This window comes from Homo sapiens, chromosome 7 (genome assembly GCF_000001405.40).
Source record: "Homo sapiens chromosome 7, GRCh38.p14 Primary Assembly".
In the NCBI taxonomy this organism is placed as follows: domain Eukaryota; kingdom Metazoa; phylum Chordata; class Mammalia; order Primates; family Hominidae; genus Homo; species Homo sapiens.
Window position 1 is genome coordinate 112,850,427 of NC_000007.14, and position 22,961 is coordinate 112,873,387.

At 37.2% G+C, this 22,961-nt stretch overlaps 1 protein-coding gene across 1 annotated transcript in view, besides 2 other annotated features; it reads right to left on the reverse strand.

Annotated features, from left to right (window-relative positions):
* The window catches only part of SAMTOR (S-adenosylmethionine sensor upstream of mTORC1), a 120,729-nt gene that overhangs the window by 31,280 nt on the left and 66,488 nt on the right, over positions 1-22,961 (reverse strand). The window lies entirely within an intron of this gene.
* Positions 16,115-16,334: an enhancer, noted in NCBI's record as "active region_26516". NCBI's record gives its function as "activates an Ori minimal core promoter by ATAC-STARR-seq in GM12878 lymphoblastoid cells {active_cell/tissue: GM12878}" and the evidence as "EXISTENCE:reporter gene assay evidence [ECO:0000049][PMID:35858748]".
* Positions 18,783-18,842: an enhancer, noted in NCBI's record as "active region_26517". NCBI's record gives its function as "activates an Ori minimal core promoter by ATAC-STARR-seq in GM12878 lymphoblastoid cells {active_cell/tissue: GM12878}" and the evidence as "EXISTENCE:reporter gene assay evidence [ECO:0000049][PMID:35858748]".

Sequence of the window (22,961 nt, forward strand, 5' to 3'; positions counted from 1 at the left end):
GAAAGAATTCACTACACCTCAATTTTTGGGAACAGTATCAGTAAGATTGGTACCAGTTCTTCTTTGTGCATCTGGTAGAGCTGGCTGTGAACTTGGTCCTTGGCTTTTTGTTATTTTGTTGGGAGAGTTTTTACTACTGATTCAATTTCACTATTAGTTATTGTTCTGTTGAGGATTTCTGATTCTTCCTGGTTCAATGTTGCAGGGCGCTGGATGTTTCCAAGAATTTACCCATTTCCTCTAGGGTTTCTAGTCTGTGCATGTAGTTTGTGCAAGACTCAAGGCATCTCTGATGATTTTTTGTATTTCTGCAGTATCAGTTGTAATGTCACCTTTGTCATTTCTAACTGTTGCTTATGTGAATCACCTTTTTTCCCTCAGTTAATCCAGCTAGCAGTCTATCAATTTTGTTTATCTTTTCAAAGAAACTTTTGTTTAATAAGTGACTTCAGTAAAGTCAAAATCAACATACAAAAGTCAGTAGCAATTCTATCCACCAATAATGATCTGACGGAGAACCAAATCAAGAACTCAATCCCATTTCCAATAGTTACAAAATATAAAATATCTGGGAGTACATTTAACCAAGGAGGTGAAAAGTCTCTACAAGGAGAACTACAAAACACCGATGAAAGAAAATGTAGATGATGACACAAACAAATGGAAAAACATCCCATGCTTATGGATTGGAAGAATCAATATTGTTAAAATGACTATACAGCCCAAAGCAATCTCAATCACTATTAAATTATCAACAACATTTTTCACCAAGTCTAAAATTCATATGGAACCCAAAAGGAGCTCAACTAGCCAAAGCAATCCTAAGCAAAAAGAACCAAGCTGGAATCATCATATTATTCGACTTCAAATTACACCACAAGGCTATAATAACAAAAACAGTGTGGTATTAGTATGAAATAGATATATAGATCAGCGGAACAAAGCAGAACCCAGAAATAAAGCTACATACCTACAACCAACTGATGTTTGACAAAGTCAACAAAAATATACAATGGGGAAAAAAGCCTACTCAGTCAATAATGCTGGGAAAACTGGATAGCCATATACAAAAGAATGACACTGAACTCATATCTCTTGCCATATACAAAAATTAACTGAAGATTGATTAAAGATTTAAATGTAAGACCTGAAACTATAAAAATCCAGGGAAAACTCTTCTGGAGATTGGTCTAGGCATGAATTCAAAAGCACGAGAACAAAAACAAACAGACAAATGGGACTTAAAAGCTTCTGCACAGCAAAAGAAGTAATCAACAGAGTAAACACACAACCTACGGAATGGGAGAAAATATTTGCAAACTGTGCATCCTACATAGGGCTAATATGCAGAATTTAAAGGGAATTCAAACAACCTAACAAGAAAAATAACAATCCCATTTAAAAAGTGGGCAAAGGACATGAACAGACATTCTTCCAAAGAAGACATACAAGTTTCCAACAAATATATGAAAAAATGTTCAACAACTCTAATCATGTGAAATCACAATGAGATATCATCTAACACCAGTTAGAAAGGCCATTATTAAAAAGTCAAATAACAACAGATGTTGGCAAGGATTCCCACCACACAATTGGTAGGAATGTAAATTAGTGCCACCTCTATGGAAAATGGTGAACTAAAAATGTAACTACCATTCAATCTAGCAATCCCACTACTAGGTATCTACCCAAAGGAAAAGAAATTATATATAAAGACACCTGCCCTTGTATGTTGATCACAGCACTATCTACAATAGCAAAGTCATGGAATCAACTTGTATCCATCAATAAATGGCTAAATACAGAAAATGTGGTGTATATATGTACATACACATCATGGAATTCTACGCAGCCATAAAAAATGAAATTACGTCTTTTGCAGCAGTATGAATGGAACTGGAGGCCATGACCTTAAGTATAATGACTCAGAAAGCCAAATACATGTTCTAACCTGTAAGTGGGAGCTAAGCAATGTGACAAACACATTGACATTGTTTGTCAATGTGGCAAACAGAGTGAAATAATAGACATTGGAGAATCCAAAAGGTGGGAGGGGAGTGGGGGATGGGAAACTACTTACTGGGTACCATTTACACTAAAAGCCCAGACATCACTACGCAATGTATCCATGTAACAAAAATGCATTTGTACTCCCCAAATCTATTCAAATAATAAAAAAGTAAAAAATAATTATAAAATTTTTGGTCAGCCCTTGACAGAATAAAATATCACTCTCTTGCCCAATTCTAGTTTTTCTATATCAACTTGCAGCGGTAAATTATTTAAAAAATCACTCTCTAGTAAATTAGGAACCACATTTCATGAAAATCTAATTTGTCATGTTAATATACATCTAACAGCAGCAAAGCTCTAACAAGAACCTTTCTTAGTGTGTCATATATTGAATAAAAACTGGTGTAATCCTGGCACTGTCAGATCCAATGATAATGAACCAGAGTTTCTTTCACTGCCTCAACATGGAATCAAGAGTGTAAAGAGACTCTGTCACCGAGAAGCAAAAGACTCTCTAAAGGACAACGAACTAAAATGCTGTTAGGCTGGTTTCTCTTTTCAGCATATCTGCCCTACATTTCATTTGCATTTTGTAAAGTGATAAAACACACTAATTGGAAAACAAAGCTTGGCTAAAAAGTTTATTTCTGTTATGCTGCCTCTACATTTTAATGCTACTTTGAAATGTTCATTTATATTCCTTAAATTTTCACTTCTGATTCTTTAGACAAATTTATGCAGATAATCTTAAAACTGCATTATTTAAAAATATTTTTATAACTTAACTTATAACTTCATTTGACATTTTTTCCTTTATTCAGCGGAAAAGAATTGAGGAAATACCCTTGGTATATATAATGATGTATATAAGCTATTCAAATTATAATTTTCTACTTAAATTTAAATTTCATATACAGTTTTTAACTCAATATTGTCTTTTCTTTTCCAAAACAGAGTTCAAGATCGTATTTCTTTACTCTCGCCCCCTTGATTCCCACCCTGCTGGTTATGTATTTTAATAAGGAAATATAGGATTTTTATTTCCTACATAATTTTGTTTGGTGTGTGGCCAGTGCTGACAACAGCATTTTGAACTACTCAAGACATGTTAAGAAAGAGCTGTAATTCTAAGTAAGCTTTTTTTGCTTATTGAGTAAGAAAACCTGGCAATATTTACCCAAGTATGTAGTTTACAGTAGCTTTTTTGTTGTTTTTTCAAAGTGCTCTCTACAGAGCCAGAGGCATTCTCTAGAGTCAGTGAAGGGCCAGCAAAGGCAGATATGGGAGATAACAGTAGGCTATAACTTTTATAACCTTCAACCAGAACAGCAATTTTGATTCATATGGTGGGCTTCCATAAAAGGTTTCTTCTGAATAAAGATTCTATGGTTAAAATACTTTGAAATCAATGATCTAGGCCTTATTTATCATCTCTGCTGCTTTGAAGTAGGGGAATGAGAAAAATAGGTTTCTATTTCGTATCTTTTAGAGCAGGGAAAATTCAAAAAGAAAATGCGTTGAGAGTCAGTTTGTACACAGCATTGTCACTTCTTGAATTGATGACAGTCATACACATGAGAAATTTTTCTAATGTCCACTTTTGGGGCTGTTAGATGAGAAGTGGGTAAAATTTATTACTAGATACCTGAGATGACATAAAATCATTAGTTCCTCTTGTCTCAGTCATTTAAGGAACAGCAGAAAAAAATAGTTAGAAAATATCTGACTCTGCATGAGACTAGGCTTATTCTCATTTATTTGGCAACTTACCCTTAGCATTTTTCATATAATCCATTTCATTTCTGTATGCATAAAAAAATCCCTGAAATACTGACTGGTTAAAGATTATTGGTTTTGATTGCAATGTGTAAGCCAGAAAACAGCTTCTCCTCTGTGTTTTGGTGATTAGGAAATAAAAAATTCATTGCAAGAGGTAAGTGTGGTGATCAAAGGTTACTTATGGGCTAAACAACCTGCACAAAGTAGATGAAAAAAATTCTGCCTATCATACCATACTTAAGCTTTAACAAGAAAAGAAGGGAACCAGATATTGGCTCATAGAATTAATGATTTATATCTGAAAAAAGTTTTTCTCAAAGAGCATTTCATGAAATAGTCTTGCAAGAAGCTCTTTAGTCAATAGGTCAATGAATGTAGGAAATGTATTCTCTTTTTGAAAAGCTACACAAAGAATGTAACCGTCTAATAGCTGTATGGTTAAGGAACTTAATTTCTTTAGTCCAATGTTTCCCCAAATTTATTTTGCTGACAAACTCCCTTTTCAAGAACATATTACTATCTTACAGACCTTTTCTGGAAAATTGAGACCAGAGATCTGAGAATAGAGGCTTCTTAACAAAGGCAAGTATATCTGGTTTCTAAGTAAAATATCTGGAAAAAACAAAAGGATAACCCAGAAACTCCATATACAGAGCTCAGAGAAAGGTATAAAGAATTAAGTAAAAAGATCTTAGCTATGGCTTTTTTCCCGTAGATGTCCAGATTCCTGCTCTTATTGAGAATATTCTTTGTGTTGCTATCATCATGAATATCATTACCATATAACAATGACAGCGGCCACTGCAGCAGCAATGCAAAGTTCTTATCAGTAGGTACTACTACTCTCATTTTATAGATGAGGAGACTAAGTCTTAATACACCAAAGGTCATATGGCTAATAAGTGATTTCAGATGGGATTAAAATATTTAGCAGCCTGAGCTTTTAATACTTATGCTTTCTATATCTAATATAGAAGGAAATGGCAGTTTGGATACATCTTAATCGTTTTCCATGCATAAGATTAATATACAATGGAAATATATACTATGAATGTTATACTTCACTTTGAAAACAACCCTAGGTATTAGGTTTTTATTGCTGGGTAACAAACTACCACAAACTTAACTTTAAAACGACACCCAATTCCATAGGTCAAAAGTGCAGGCAGGCATGGCTGGTACTCTTTTTAGACTCTAATAAAGCTGAAACCAAGGTGTCAGCTGGTCTGGGCTCTTATCTAGGGACTATGTGGTATAGAATCTATTTCAAGCCTCATTCAGGTTTTTGGCAGAATCTAGTTTAGCGTGGATGTAGGACTGAGGTCCCTGTTTCCTTGCTGGCTGGCTGCTGGGAGTCATTCTCAGCTTCTGGAGGCCACCCATATTTCTTAGATCACTGCCCCCTCCGTTTTCAAAGCCAATAGCACATTAAATCCTTCTTATGTTTCAAATCTCCCTGACACCCTCTTTTCCCCTCCTCTTCTGCTAAATCTGAAGAAAGTTCTTGGTTTTTAAGGACTTAGGTGATTAGGTTAAGTTTACCCAGATAATCTATTTTAAGTAAATTGATTCTGTAAAATCATTTCGGCAGTACCTAGATTAGCATTTGACTGAATTAACAAGGAATAACAATTTTGGAAGCGGGGGCATCTTCAGAATCTTGCCTACCTCACCATGCTTGGGGGAGATTAAAAAAAAAAAACTTTTACTTTCTATTAGCCACTAATAGTTTTAGAAGTTTATTCAGAATTTTTACTTTTGTGGTTAGAGAGTGACATGGAAATACTGAGACTTAAGTGTTTCGTGTGTGTATATGTGCGCACATTTGCTAATAAAAACCCAGAACTTTATGTTGTTTCTTTGAAGCCATGAATATAAACGAGTATACAACTAACTCAGAAATTCAGTTAAATGAATGTCATTTTGATTGGACTGTTACAAAATGAAGAAAAATCACAATGGCAGTAGAAATTAATACCCGAATTATAGACTTTTTAAAAAAGAAAAGTGTATTATTTTTATTTACTTTTTTTTTCTTTTTTTTTTTTCGAGACCGAGTGTCACTCTGTTGCCCAGGCTGGGGTGCAGTGGCGTGATTTTGGCTCATTGCAACCTCTGCCTCCCAGGTTCAAGCAGTTGTCATGCCTCAGCCACCTGAGTAGCCAGGACTACTGGCGTGAGCCACCACGCCCAGCTAATTTTTGTATTTTTAGTAGAGATGGGGTTTCACCTTATTGGCCAGGCTGGTCTCGAACTCCTGAGCTCAGATGATCTACCTGCCTCGGCCTCCCAAAGTGCTGGGATTACTTATTTACTTCTTTGAGGATGTAAAGAAGCAAATACCAGCTTAGCAGCACTGACCTCTGCATATCTTTTTTGCTATAGTTTTGAAGTATTTGAAAAAGTTGCATTCAAAATTAACAACTTTTGCAAATAACAGAAAACATAAGGGAATATTAATATTTTGATTATCTCAAATAATGTTCCTGTACAAGAAAACTACGTGATGTAAAAATATTTATTGTCCAAATGTATTTACATATTTAATTCAATTTAAATGAGTATCTCCTAAAACAATTCTTTTTGAACTAAAAGAAATGAGGAAAAATCAGAAATTAAACAATATTCAAAACTATATAGTAAATAAAACTGAACAAAGGAACAGAATACAGATAGCTTCAGCTCCATCTATAAACTTATCTGATAAGTTAGGTTCATTCATTCCCTAAATCACATATACACATAAACCTCAGGTAAATTGGTATTGAGTTACATATAATCTGAACACAAAGTATTTAATATACAGAGTTTATGCTAAAGAAAAAAAATAATGAAGTCAGCAGTAAAATGTTCTTTTAATCTTTTTTTTTTTTTTTTTTTTTTTTGAGACGGAGTCTCGCCTGTCGCCCAGGCCGGACTGCGGACTGCAGTGGCGCAATCTCGGCTCACTGCAAGCTCCGCTTCCCGGGTTCACGCCATTCTCCTGCCTCAGCCTCCCGAGTAGCTGGGACTACAGGCGCCCACCACCGCGCCCGGCTAATTTTTTGTATTTTTAGTAGAGACGGGGTTTCACCTTGTTAGCCAGGATGGTCTCAATCTCCTGACCTCATGATCCACCCGCCTCGGCCTCCCAAAGTGCTGGGATTACAGGCGTGAGCCACCGCGCCCGGCCATGTTCTTTTAATCTTTACAGCACTAAAATAAAACCACAAAACAATGGTTTGAATAAAAATATAAACAAACCCAATAAGAAAGTAAAAAACAAACTGAAAGCCATTAATACTAATCTATATTAGAAATCACAAAACAAATACAAACATGTATCTAAAGTCATAAATTGCAAAAACTATAAAATTTACATATACACAATCATCACACACCAGTGACAAAATGAAAAAGTTTCAGAGCTGTGCTGATCTATATTGTGTCTTTGCATCACAGAAGAAGAATTTAGAAGAAAAGGTACCCCCAGCTTCTTCAAATAAAAATGTTAAGTTAGTCTATTCTGTATAAACTAAAGAACTGTATGCAATGGCCCAAGTTGCCTGCCCAGAGAGGCTTTCCAGAGCCCATGAAGAAGCAACCTGGCTGTGCAAATGTGTGTCACACATACCCTGAACCTGTAAGTGCACACACTGCCAGCAACCTATGACATCCCAGTAAGATGAGCTTGTCAGGGTCAGAGTAGGAGGTGAGCAAACACTGGGCATCCTAGAGCAGCAAGTAGGTCAGGGAGATGTCCCCTGGGATGCACAATATGGCTGGGAAAGAGGAAGCAATGCTATGAGTATTTGGGTAATAAATGATGATGGTCTTTTTTGTTGCTCCAGGGCTGGGTTAGGAGGCAGGACCACCATTTGTTCTTATTTAAGTCAGTATAAACATCTACCCATGTGAATGGCTTACTCCTTGGATGTGGCTAACTTGTGTGGTGTGGAGTCTGAATACTATTAGTGGCAACCTTTTAAATTACTTTTAAATCAAAATGAAAATATTTAGTAAGAACTATGAAACATTCATAGTCTTTGAACTGCAATGTTACTATAAATTTTCTCTTAAGGATAACATGATAGAAACAAAGACATGAAGCATGAACTTGATTATACAGCCATTAAAAATAAACATGAAGACCACACTAGATACAGAATGTTTACCCTGACAGTAAAAACAGAATATAAATATACAGATTTTGAAAGCAGCAATGTAAAAACATATAAGAAAATAGAAGATAATAGTAATTCTGAGATAGTAAAATCATTACAGAATATTTTTTAAATTCTATAATTTTTAAAATAAAAATCAAGTTGTTATTCTTAAATGCTTAAATACTTCTTATTTATTTGTTAAAAATCCTTTTTCCAGTTAGCAAAGATAAATTTTTGATTAGATGTTAATCATAAATTCAAACTAATGTGATTTTAATATATGTCAGTGATTTACTTGTGAAAGTGTATATACTTAATGAAACATTTGGCTTTCAAGTTTTAACAAGGCTATTTGTACAGGGTGTCCACTCCTATGTTCCTAAAAGTAGAGAATATATAATATTACTTACAAGTGTGGGAAGCCAGTATCAGAACTTCTATTTATCTGTGATTTTAATTTCTGAAAGAAATGAAGCTGTACTGATATTTAATACATGAAATGACACTTCAGACCCTGTGATGATTAATATTATGCATCAACCTGACTAGGCCATAGTACCTAGATATTTGATCAAATACCTGTTTAGATGTCGTTGTGAAGGCACTTAGATGAAATTAACTTTAAATTAGCAGACTTTGAGTAAAGCAGACTACTCTCTACAATGTGGGTGGGCCTCATCCAATCAGTTGAAGGCCTTAATAGAAAAAGACTGAGTTTGCTCCCAGAAAGGAAATTCAGCCTCCAGATTCAAGCTGCAATATCAACTTTTCCATGGGTGTCCAGCCTACTAGCCTGCCCTGCAGATTTTGGACCTGCCAGCCCCCACGATTCATGTGCATCAGTTCCTTAAAATAAGTTTCTATCTCTATATATACAGTTATGAGCCACATAACAACGTTTTCAGTCAATAATGGATGGCATATATGATGGTGGTCTCATAAACATAATGGAGCTGAAAACTTCCTATTGCCTAGTGATGATTTAGTGCAATGCATTACTAACATTTGCGGAGTTGCTGGTATAAACAATTCTGCATTGCCAGTCTTGGAAAAGTAAAGCACACAGAATTATGTACAGTATATAATACCTGATACTGATAATAATTATTGGTTATGTATTTACTACACTTTTGTTATATTAGTGTATTCCTTCAGGCAGGTCCCTCAGGAGGTATTCCATAAGTATTGTTGCCATGGGAGATGAGAGCTCCTTTGCCAGTAATGACCTGCCAGTGGGACAAAATTTGGAAGTGGAAGACAGTGATATTAATGGTCCCGACCCTGTGTAGGTCTAGACTAACAAATGTGTTTGTGTCTTAGCTTTTACCAAAAAAGTTTAAAAAGTAAAAAAAACAAAATTTAAAAGCTTATAGAATAAGAATATAAAGGAAGAAATTATTTTTTACAATGTGTGTTTTCAGCTAAGTGTTACTGCAAAGGAGTCAAAAAGTTAAAAATATTAAAAAATTTATAAAGCAAAACAGAGTAAGCTACGATTGATTTTACTGAAAATGAAACTTAAAAAGTAAATATAGTATAGCTTAAGTGCACAGTGTTTATAAAGTCTATAGTAGTATACAGTAATGTTATAGGCCTTCACATTCACTCACCACTCATTCACTCTCACCCAGAGCAACTTCTAGTCCCGTAAGTTCCATTCGTGGTAAGTGCACTATACAGGTATACCATTTTTAATCTTTTATAATCATATTTCTATGGTGCCTTTTCTATGTTTAGATACACAAATACCATTGTTACAACTGCCTTCAGTATTCAGTACAAAACATGCTTTGCAGGTTTGTAGCCTAGGAGCAAATGACTATACCATATAGCCTACAGGTATGTATAGGCTATACCATCTAGGTTTGTGAAAGTACACTCTATGTTCACACAACGATTGACTAATGACACATTTCTCAGAATGCATCCCTGTTGTTAAGTGACACATGGCTATATATATATACCCATTCTATTCTGTTCTGTTCCTCTGGAGAACCCTAATACACAACCCTACACAGACAACCCTGTTATCTGATGGTTGAGCTTTCTGTTTGTTAAGGAGGAATAACAATGGCATCCCTGCTATTCGTTCCCTTATTGCATCCTGCGACTGTATTGAGTTTTCTTGCTCTTAGTTAAGTGCATACAGTGAATTATTGACTTAATTAAACTAAGTCTCACAAAGGAGTAGCTCATCAAGATTCTTTGCAAAAAAAACTAAAACTAATACAAATGCAAGAAAAAAAGTCAACAGATTTGCCAGGCGCCGTGGCTCACGCCTGTAATCCCAGCACTTTGGGAGGCCGAGGCGGGTGGATCACGAGGTCAGGGGTCAGGAGATCGAGACCATCCAGGCTAACACGGTGAAACCCCATCTCTACTAAAAAAATACAAAAAAATTAGCCGGGCATGGTGGCGGGCGCTTGTAGTCCCAGCTACTCGGGAGGCTGGGACAGGAGAATGGCGTGAACCGGGGAGGCGGAGCTTGCAGTGAGCCGAGATTATGCCACTGCACTCCAGCCTGGGGTGACAGAGCAAGACTCTGTCTCAAAAAAAAAAAAAAAAAAAAAAAGTCAACAGATTTGATACTTCTCTTCCTAGTAAAAACACTCTTTGCAATAGTGAGGCAAAAAGTGACTAAATCAGATCCTGACAAAAGCTGGAAAAAACTATAAAAAAGGCTAACGTAAATACAGATTTACATTTGCTCATATCATTGCCCTAAGTGATTATGTCTTGAGATATGGGTGTACAACACAGGTGAGTTATAATAATATTTTAAAATATTATTTCCTTCAATTATTTCATCTCTTATTTATAGCACAAATAACTTGCTGGCAACCTATACTGCAGTAGTTTTTGACAACTAAATTTTGTGGTAGGACATGTTTCTTTAACAAAGGGGAAGTATCTAGTGCTTAAGAATACATTTTATATTTCATAGAAATTTCTTATGATTTAATACACTTATCAGTCTTCTTAAAAATGACTTAGTGAGCTGAGTGTGGTGGCATGCACCTGTAGTCCCAGTTACTTGAGAGGCTGAGGTGGGAAGATTGTTTGAGCCCAGCCTGGTCAATACTGTCAGACCCCATCTCAAGACAACAGAATTTCTTGATAATAGGAGTATACATCATGACCGTTAGTGATTTTTATAGACATATAGGAGTTGGCTTCTACAATAAATATGGCTGTTTTTGGAATTATTTATTGCTTTTCTCTAAAACAGTTGGTCCCTTGACTCACTGTCACATTTTCTTATTAATAAATCTGATCCTTCTGTCTTCTTGAGGTTTCTAATCTGCTATGCTTGAAAAATTCTCTCCTCTTCATTAAATATAAGTCAGCTAAAAGTGGACCTACTGTCTGATGCAAACTAGGGTAAGGAACTAAATAGTACAGCCATTAGATTACGAACATCTTCTGAAGATATAAAGTCCCCTTTTTAAAAAAACCTTTTCCCGAATAGTCTACTCCCTAACATTTTAATCCTTTGTTTTTCTCCTTGGGATCATCCATAATGTTTTCATCTGTTGTATTTATGATTCCATCCTATTCTAAATACTTTGGGTCACATCGTTGTACTAAATGGTAAACAATTGAAAAGAGGCCAGGTACAGCGGCTCAGGCCTTTAATCCAAGAACGTTGGGAGGCTGAGGCAGGGTGGATCATTTGAGCTCAGGAGTTCCAGACCAGGCTGGGCAACATTGGTGAAGCCCTGTCTCTACAAAAAATAAAAAATTAGGTGGGCATGGTGGCACATGCCTGTAGTTCAAGATACTTGGGAGGCTGAGGCAGGAGAATTGTTTGAGCCCAGCAGGTGGAGGTTGTGGTAAGCTAGGATCACGCCACTGCACTCCAGCCTGGGCGACAGGAATGAGACTGTTTTTTGTTTTGAGACAAACAAAACATGGAAAACATGGAAGAGATCTTCTAGGGGTAAAAAGAAAACAGAGGATTATTAATTTTCCCTGTTTCAAACCTCAATGTTGTCATCTCCATATTATAACGTTAGAGTTAACTTAATCATGAGATTGGCACTATTGGGCATTCGGAAATTAACTCTATGGTCCCTTCTCACAGAGAATTTATTCATTCACTCAATTATTGGATTGCATTATATACAAGGCTACTGGTGCCAGGCCTTGAGACGTAGAAAATAATATAGTTCTAACATGTTTTCATGGAGCTTTACAATCTAATACAATGGTATGGAAAATTAAAATGCTCCTTGGGCCAGTTATTAAGTGAAGAATTAATGGTTTTAGAATTCTCTAACCTGGGCTGGATATGGTGGCTCATGCCTGTAATCTCAGCACTTTGGGAGGCCAAGGTGGGTGGATCACCTGAGGTCAGGAATTTGAGACCAGCCTGGCCAACATGGGGAAACCCTGTCTCTACTAAAGATACAAAAATTAGCAGGGTGTGGTGGAAGACACCTGTAATCCCAGCTACTCTGGAGGCTGAGGCAGGAGAATCGCTTGAACCCAGGACGTGGAGGTTGTAGTGAGCTGAGATCATGCCACTGTACTCCAGCCTGGGCGACAGCGTGAGACTCCAAAAAAAAAAAGGGGGTGGGGGCTAGAATTCTCTAACCCTTTCTTAAGTTCTCAGCCACTATGACAGCTGATGAAACTCTGGCATCACACTACTTGACTTCAAACTATACTACAGGGCTACAGTATCCAAAACAGCATGGCACTGGTTTAAAAAAATACATATATATAGGCCAATGGAACAGAATAGAGAATCCCGAAATAAGATCACACACCTACAAGCATCTGATCTTCGACAAAACTCAAAGAAACAAGCAATGGAGAAAGAATTCTCTATTCAATAAATGGTGCCAGGATAACTGGTTAGTTATAGTCAGAAGTTTGAAACTGGATCCCTTCCTTAAGCCATACACAAAAATAAAATCAAGATGGATTAAAGACTTACAGATACAACTCAAAAGTATAAATCCCTGAAAGACAACCTCGGCAATACCATTCAGGACATAAGCAAAGGCAAATACTTCGTGATGAAGATGCTAAAAGCAGTTGCACAAAAGCAAAAATTGACAAATGAAATCTAATTAAAATAAAGAGCTTCTGCATAGCAAAAGAAACTGTCAACAGAGTGAACAGACAACGTACAGAATGGGAGAAAATTTTTGTAAGTTATGTATCTGACAAAGGTCTAGTATCCAGCATCTACAACGAACTTAAACAAATTTACAAGAAAAAAAACAACTCCATTAAAAAGTGGGCAAAGGACATGAACACTTTTCTAAAGATGACATACACACAGCCAAGAATCATATGAAGAAAAGCTTGATATCACTTATCATTAGAGAAATGCAAATGAAAACCGCAATGAGATACCATCTCACGTCGGTCAGATGTCAAAAAATAACAGATGCTAGCAAGGTTGTGGGGAAAAAGGAATGCTTACACACTCCTGGTGGGAGCGTAAACTAGTTCAACCATTGTGGAAGACAGTGTGGTGATTCCTCAATGAACAAAAGAAATAACTTTCCATCCCATTACTGGGCATATACCCAAAGAAATATAAATCATTCTATTATAAAGACACATGCACATGTATGTTCACTGCAGCACTATTCACAATAGCAAAGACATGGAATCAACCTAAATGCCCGTCAACAGTAGACTGGATAAAGAAAATGTGGTACATATACACCACGGAATACTATGCAGCTATAAAAAAATGAGATCATATCCTTTGCAGGGACAATGGCCATGGTGGCCATTATCCTCAGCAAACTAACGCAGGAACAGAAAACCAGATACCACATGTTCTCACTTATAGGTGGGAGCTAAATGAGAAAACATGGACACAGAGGGGGACAACCCACATTGAAACCTATTGGAGGGTGGGAAAATGGAGAGGATCAAGAAAAATAACTAATGGGTACTAGGCTTAATACCTGGGTGATGAAATAATCTGTACAACAAACCCCCATGACACAAGTTTACCTATGTAACAAACCTACACTTGTACCCCTGAATTTAAAAGTTAAAAAAAAAATCTGGCATTTGGACATGGGTTCTCCTGTGTTTTTATGATAAAGTTTAATGATAGGATACTGTGAATTCTATTTGTATTCAACCTGGAGTTAATCCATAACAGTACAAAGATCTTTGGGGGGTAGGCTTTTCCTCAAGAATGATTCTTAAACAAATACTGCTTAAAGGCTTAGAGAGTGACTGAGTACTTCACTCTGAAGTACTTGACCACTCTACACTCATATTTACAGCTGAAAGTTCTGTGTTTTAACCACTATCAAATTAACACAGGTAACAATATTTCTTTGGAGTCCAAAACCACTGCTTTGGAGAACTGAGGTGGGAAAATAATCCAGATGGCTAAAGTTCTTCAAAAATTTATATATTTTTCTTTTTTGAGACAGGGTCTCTCTCTGTCACCTAGGCTCGAGTGCAGTGGCACAATCACAGCTGACTGCAACCTTGACCTCTCGGGCTTAAGTGATCCTCCCGCCTCAGTCTCCCAAGTAGCTAGGACAGAGGTGCGTAGCACCGTGCCCCACTAATTTTTATATTTATTGTAGAGATGGGGTTTTGCCATGTTGTCCAGGCTGGTCTCAAACTCCTGGACTCAAGTGATCCGCTTGCCTTGACCTCTAAAACTGCTGGGATTACAGGTGTGAGCCACCAGCCCTGGCCTAAAAATTTCTGTATTTCAAAGATGGCTTCCACCTGTAGTTCACATTTCATCTTTGGTTAGATTTAAAATTAACGCTATACTCTTAATTTTAAAATTTTAAAATTGGCATTCTCAGTCGGGCACAGTGGCTTATGCCTTAAACCCAGCACTTTGGGTGGCTAATATGGGAGGATCACTTGAGGCCAGGAGTTCGAGACCAACCTAGGCAACACAGCAAGACCCCCCATCTCTCTCTTTTTTTTGAGATAGAGTCTCTCTCTGTCACCAGGCTGGAGTGCAGTGGTGCAATCTCAGCTCACTGCAACCTCTGCCTCCTGGGTTCAAGGGATTCTCGTGCCTCAGCCTCCCAAGTAGCTGGGATTACAGGCACACGCCACCATACCCAGCTAATTTTTGTATTTTTAGTGAAGACAGGGTTTCGCCATGTTGGCCAGGATGGTCTCAATCTCCTGAACTTGTGATCCGCCCGCCTAGGCCTCCCAAAGTGCTGGGATTGCAGGCGTGAGCCTCCATGCCTGGTGTCCCGTCTCATTCATATATATATATATTTCATATATATACATATATTCATATATATATCATATATACATATATTCATATATATATTTCATACATACATATATTCATATATATTTCATATATACATATATTCATATATATTTCATATATACATATATTCATATATATTTCATATATACATATATTCATATATATATTTCATATATATTCATTCATATATATACTTATTTATATATTTATTCATATATATATATTTATCTATATACATATATTTGCTACTTGGGAGGTTGAGGGGAAGGACTGCATGAGCCCAGGAGTCCACTATGATGAGCTATGATTGCACCACTTCACTCCAGCCTGGGCAACACAGCAAGACCCTGTCTCTTAAAACAAAATACCTAAAAAACTCATGATATTCTCCAGAAATAAAGCAATTACCCTCTAACATTCTATATTAGATTATTCAACTATATACTAACTATTTACATGCCAGGCATTCCACAGGTTTCAATAATACAGTGATAAAGAAGACAAAGCTATTATCCTTAAATACACACAGCTAAAATATAATTTAGGTAATTGCTATATAAATAAAATGCTTTATGAATTATTTTTACATGCTTTTCTGTATAGAGAGCTGAACTGAGGAAGAATGTGAACCATACACAATATAATAAATGTATAATACTACTGAGGACTGTAATTTAAAAAACAAAGAATAAGATTTGAGATTAAATGTCTATATATTTTTCCATATACAGTTGCTCAATACCAGGAATTTGGCTATTATCCACATAGTAAGAATAAGCTTACAATGGAATATATTATAAAACTTGGAATAGGGAAACATCTCAGAATTCTGTGCAACATTACAACTAAAGAAGCCACCTCTGCCTTTGGCCGACCCACAGCTAGGTAATCTCCCCAGGCCAAGTGAAACAGGGAGAGTGAAAAAGAGCCAGGGAAGGAAGGGCGTGAGTTCTAGTGGCCACCTGCCTGCGGCTACACAGCAGTTGCCTGGTAAAATGAAAGAAGTCAGGAAGGGAGTTGGGTGCAACCCAAGAAGAGGGCTCTTCTACAGAGTTTCAGTTTCTGTTGTACCTCTTTAAATAGCAGCTGCCCCATAAACTTCATGGTAGAAGGTTTAGAAAGCCAAAGACTCAACCTCCATTCTCCACTATAGGTCCCAAACATAGACTCTGCCCAGGCCTGAATACTACATCTCGAAAGTGTTTAAAAATTTCCTTTGTTTTCCAATTAGCAGCAGACTTCATACTAATCCCTGCTTTTCTTACCTGCTTTTTTTCCTCCTCTCAAGATGCTTTCAAACAATGTTACTGCTATACTTTCTCAAAAGAATGCGATTGTAAACAAACTGGGGAAGACATTAAATACCAGATGAAGGAATTTAAAAATTGGGCTCTGTTTTCCCCTGCATATGCCATTGTCAATTATACGTTTTTGTAATGTCCATCATTTGATACAAATTACTGGAAAACTGAAACACAATACAGCCAAAATGTTTCAACATCTCCAAAGGACTGCACTAGCTCCCTAGCAATGGATCCTAACCTGAATGAAATGAAAATTAAAATAGTGTCAGGGATAAGAAGCTTAGTTGTCAATCTTAATACAATTGAGACAAAGATAAAATTCATTCAGCTTGCTTAAAACAGTGAATTTTCAACCTCTCAATTTTGTAATCACTGGACACGTAATTGAAAAGCTAAAAATTCAATCGTGTACTCAATTTTATGAATATTAAAGAACATGTATAACTACTGAAAATATATTGTTACTAATTCTGTTCAAAGCATGAGGCATAATTAATAATTTTCTATTTCTCAAGGAAATGGAATTAAAAGTCTTCTTATAACTGTCCAACTTCTGAATTTCATATTACTCTTATAAAAATTTTCAGGAATTCTTTATGATACAAAACTACCCATACGTGAAGAAGTTATGGTGTCTATAGGTACAATGCCACTTAGTATGCTGACAGTCTAAGTAAAATTATTTTCTTACTATAGTAATAGGATAGGATTTTGCATGTGTCAAAACTTTTGGATAATGTTCCTGAATGGATAAATCATAAAACATGGAATAATATTCTAAAAAGCACAAGACTTTTCTAAACTCTGCAGAAAAGAACTATATTTAAATAAAATGCCTATCAGTTAGCTTGTTTACCAAATACAGTTAATATTTAAAAGCAAAACATGAAAAATTATGGCTTTGCTTTAGAACAGGGGTCCCCAACCTCTGGGCTGCAAACTGGTATTGGTCCGTGGCCTGTTAGGAACCGGGCTGCATAGCAGGAGGTGAGCGGCCAGTAAGCATTACCACCTGAGCTCTGCCTTCTGTTAGATCAGCAGCAGCATTAGATTCTCATAGGAGCATGAACCCTACTGTGAAATGCACATGCAAAGGATCTAGGTGGAGTGCTCCTTATGAGAATCTAATGCCTGATGATCTGAGGTGGAAAAGTTTCATTCCGAAACCACCCTTCACCCCTGTCCATGGAAAAATTGTCTTCCACGAAACTGGTCTCTGGTGCCAAAAGGGTTGGGGACTGCTGCTCAAGAACACCTTACACTTGCAAACTACTATGTCTACTATTAAGCAACCAAGAGTTTTGTCTTTTTTCCCCAAAAATGGTGGATTAGAGGCTTTCAGCATTACCCATCCACTTGGAAATAGCAAAAATAGTGCGTAAAGATCAATATGTAACTTTAATTCAAGAAGGAAAATGGGAATTCACCAGACTAGTAAAGGATACCCTAGACCCTGGGGAGGAGAAGGCAAGCCAGCAATCCTCGTGAAGGTGTTTGGCTGGTTACATGAATGAAAGCCCCAGTATGTGAAAGGGGCAGTCTGTCTTCCTGTGTGTCTCACTTTTCTGCTAGTTATCTGTATAACCCAGGCAAAGGGAGAGCGCCCTGTTTCTCCCAAAACTGGGAGGTAGTGTGGGGAAAGGCTAAGAGATAGTGAGGGAAAGACACCAGGAAGCTGCAGGCATTTTCCCAGACCTAGGACTGAGAGGAGGACACCATTTCAAATTCAGGCTCACACAAAGTCAGTCACTGTTTGGCCACCTGGCAACAGCAGCCACTGCAGACATTTTAGTATCAGTCAGAGACTGGAGTGCTTGCTCTGGAGCAGGGAAAAGGCCCCCACAGCCAGAATCAGGCAGTGAGTGTGGAGAGTGCCCCAGCAGTAGTTGCTGGAATTAGGCTGTCTCCTGTTGCAAGACCGGAGTGGAAGGAGAGTTGCTGAAGCTGGTATTTCTCCTACGTGGTTTGACTTGCAGCCAGGGACAGCTTTGTGACCTGGAACAAGTCTGCATGGGTCACTGCTGGGTGTCCCGGGCTGCTTCCTTGGTTGGTTGCGGGACAGTAGCCCACCAGTCCAAAGACAGGGAGGGAAGCAGTCTCCAGTCCCCTGGAGATTTAACCTTCAGTGTGGACTGCCCCAACAGAAGGAGGAACGTGGCCTGCCAAAGCCTTCCTTGGGTCAAAGGAAACAAAAGTGAAGCACAAGCCACTGAAGGGGGCAACAGCAAAGCCAAGGAATGAATTCGGAGAGTGGGGGTAATCTCTCGCCCCCAGCCCCGCTCATTAGTGCACTGGGACGAATGCGGCAGCAGCTCTACATGCTGGGGACCAGAGCGTGTGGGCTGAGAGAGGTGCTGTGCAGGCCTCTCCAGCAGCTCCACTCCCGCTGAAGACCAGTGGCACTGGCGGGATAAGGATGCTTCTTTTGCCTCTGTCGCCTCCTGCTGGCTCTTACTCATAAGCGCCATCTACTGGACGGCAGCCTGAATTACACCACCAAACAAGAATACATCTCTACACCAAGCAACATCCGAGAAAGCCACTGTAGAAACTATCTGCAACCAAGGAACCCATAACACATGAATACACCCAGAAATGAAATCAAATGATCATATTCAACATACACCAGTCATATCAACGAAATAAAGCATAAAAATTAAAAAAAAAAACCATCCCAATGATAGCAAATTCAAAAAAAGCAGCACCAGTTTCCTCGGATGAGAAGGAACAAGCACAAGAACTTCGGCAATTATAGAAATCCAGTGTTCCATCACCTCCAAAGGATCACATGAGCTCCCTAGCAATGGATCCTAATCAGAATAAAATGACTGAAATGATACAGAATTCAGAATATGGATGGCAAGAAAACTCAACAAGATTCAAGAGAAAGTTGAAATTCAACAGAAAACAGAAAAATGATCCAGGAGTTGAAAGATAATATAACCATATTAAGAAAGAACCAACCAGAACATCTGGAATTAAAAAATTCACTAGAGGAATTTCAAAATACAGTTGGAAGCCTTAACAGACTAGACAAAGCAGAAGAAAGAATTTCAGAGCTCAAAGACTGGTTCTTCAAATCAACCCTGTCAAATAAAAATAAGAAGAAGAAAAGAACACAAAGCCTTGGGGAAATAAGGGATTATGTAAAGCGATCAAATCTACAACTTACTGGCATTCCTGAGAGAGAAGAGAAAACAAGCCACTTGGAAAACATACATGAGGACATAATTCATGAAAATTTCCCCCATCTTGGTAGAGAGGTTGACATACAGATGCAGAAATCCAGAGAAGTCCTGTGAGATACTAGACAAAATGACCATCCCCAAGGCACATAGTCACTAGACTATCCAAGGTCAAAGCAAAAGAAAAAATCTCAAAGATTACCTATAAAGGGAAACCCATCTGGCTAACAATAGATTTCTGAGGAGAAATCTTACAAGCCATAAGAGATTGGGCTCCCGCTCCCTGCCTTTTTAAAACAACATTCTTAAAAGAAAAGAAATGCCAGCGAAGAATTTCATATCCCACCAAACTAAGCTTCATATATGAAGGAGAAATAAAGTATTTTTCAGACAAGCAGTCGCTAAGAGAATTCACTGCCATCACAGGCCCTACAAGAGATACTTAAGGGAGTTCTAAACAAGGAAAAAGAACAATATTCCCTACTACAAAAGCATACATAAACACACAGCTCACAGATCCTATAAAGCAACTACGTAATTGAGACTACAAAGCAACTAATAACACTATGAAAGAAACACAACCTCTCATATCAATATTAACCTTGAATGTAACTGACCTAAATGCTCCATTAGAAAGACATAAGTTGGAAATTGGATTAAAAAAAAAAAAAAACCCACCCATCTTCTGTCTTTGAGAGACCCATCTCACATGTAATACACAGTCTCAAAGTAAAGGGATAGAGAAAGATCTATTGCATAAATGGAATATAAAAAAAAACAGGGGTCACTATTCTTTTATCAGATAAAACACAATTTAAACCAATAGTAACAAAGCACAGAGAAGGGCACTACATAATGATAAAGAGCTCAATTCCATGAGAAGACTGAACTACCCTAAATAATATAGCACCCAATGTTGGAGCATGCAGATTCATAAAATAATTACTTCTATAGTCAGGAAAAGACTCAGACAGCCACAGGGTAATAGTGGGGGACTTCACCTCATTCACAGCTTAGATCATTGAGGCAAAAAACTAAAATTCTGGACTTAAATTTGACACTTGACCAACTGGACCTAACAGACATCCACAGACAACTTCACCCAACAACCACATAAAACACATTCTTCTGTCATCTACACACAGAACGTAGTCTAAGATGGACCACATGCTCAGTTATAAAGCAAGTCTCAATAAATTTTAAAAAGGTCAAAGTCATATCAAGCATATTCTCATATCACAGAGGAATAAAAATAGAAATCAATATCAAGAGGAACTCTCAATACCACACAATTACATGGAAACTAAATTAACTTGCTCCTGAATGACTTTTGGGTAAACAATGAAATTAAGGCATAAATCAAAAACTATTTGAAACAAATGAAAATATAAACACAACATACCAAAACCTCTACAATGCAGCAAAAGCAGCATTAAGAGAAAAGTTTGTAGTGCTAAATGCCACACCAAGATAGGAAGGTCTCAAATTAACAATCTACTATTGTACCTAAAGAAACTGGAAAAACACAAACTGATTGCAATGCTAGCAGAAGAAAAAAGTAACTAAAATTAGAGCAGAAGTAAATGAAATCAAGAACAAAAAACCATACAAATGATCAATGTTAATAGCATAAACAAGATTGACAGACCACTAGTTAAACAAAGACCACTAGTTAAACAAACAACCAGAATATTCAAATAAGCAAAATCAGAAATGACAAGGTGACATGATACCAATCCCAAAGAAATACAAGAGATCCCTAGAGACTACTACGAACACCTCTATGCTCACAAAATAGAAATTCTAGAGGAAATTCCTAAAAACACACAATGTCCAAAGATTAAATTGGGAAGAAATTGAAACCCTGAAGAGACCAATGTGTTCCGAAATTGAATCAGTAATTAATAAAATCCAGACCAGAGGAATTCATAGCCGAATTCTACCAGAAGCACAAAAAATAACTGGTATCAATCCTATTGGAACTATCCCCCCAAAAAAATCGAGGAGGAGGAATTCGTTCCTAACTCATTCTATGAAACCAGTATCACCCTGATGCCAAATCTAGCAAAGACACAATGAAAAAACAACAATAAACTACAGCCAATATACTTGATGAACATGGATGAAAAAATCCACAGTAAAATACTAGCAAACCAAATCCAGCAGCACATCAGAAAGTTAATTCATGATTAAGTAGGCCTTATTCCTAGGTTGCAAGATTGATTCAACACATACAAATCAATAAAGTCATTCACCACATAAACAGAATTAAAAACCATATGATCATCTCACTAGATACAGAAAAAGCAATAGAAAAATCCAGCATTCCTTCATGATAAAAATCCTCAACAAACTAGGCATCTAAAGAATATACTTCAAAATAATAAGAGCCACCGATGACAAACCCACATCCAACATCATGCTGAACTGGCAAAAGCTGGTAGCATTCTACCTAAGAATTGCAACAAGACAAAATGTCCACTCTCATCACTCCTATTCAACATAGTTGAACATAAAATGATAATGAAGTCCTAGCCAGAGCAATCAAGAAAGAGAAATAAAAGGCATCCAAATAGGAAGAGAGGAAGTCAATTATCTCTCTTCACTGATGGTATGATTCTGTTCTTCAGAAAATTCTAGAGACTCCACCAAAAGTCTCCTAAACAGTCAGTGAAGTTTCAGGATACAAAATCAATGTATAAAAATCAGTAGTAAAAAAAAAAAAAAGAAATTTAAAAAATCAGTAGCATTTCTATACTATTTATAATGGCCATTCTACACCAGTAACACTCAAGCTAAGAACCAAATCAAGAATGCAGTCCCCTTTACAGTAGCTGTGTGCGTGTGTGCACGTGCGTGCACACACCCACACACCCACACACACACACAAATACCTAGGAATATATCCAACCAAGGAGGTGAAAGATCTCTGACAAAGAGAACTATAAAACTCTGCTAAAAAAAAAATTACAGGTGACATAAACAAATGGAAAAACATCCCATGCTCATGAACTGGATGAATCAGTATTGTTAAAATGTCCATACTGCCCAAGGCAATGTACAGATTCAATGCTCTTCCTATCAAATCACCAATGTTATTTTTCACAGAATTAAAAAAAAAACTATTCTAAAATTCACATGGAACCAAAAAAGAGCCCAAATAGCCAAAGCAATCCTCAGCCAAAGTTAAAAAGCTGGAGACATCACATTACCCAATTGCAAACTACAATACAAGGCTACAGTATGCAAAATAGCATGGCACTGGTACAAACACAGATACATACACTAATGGAAC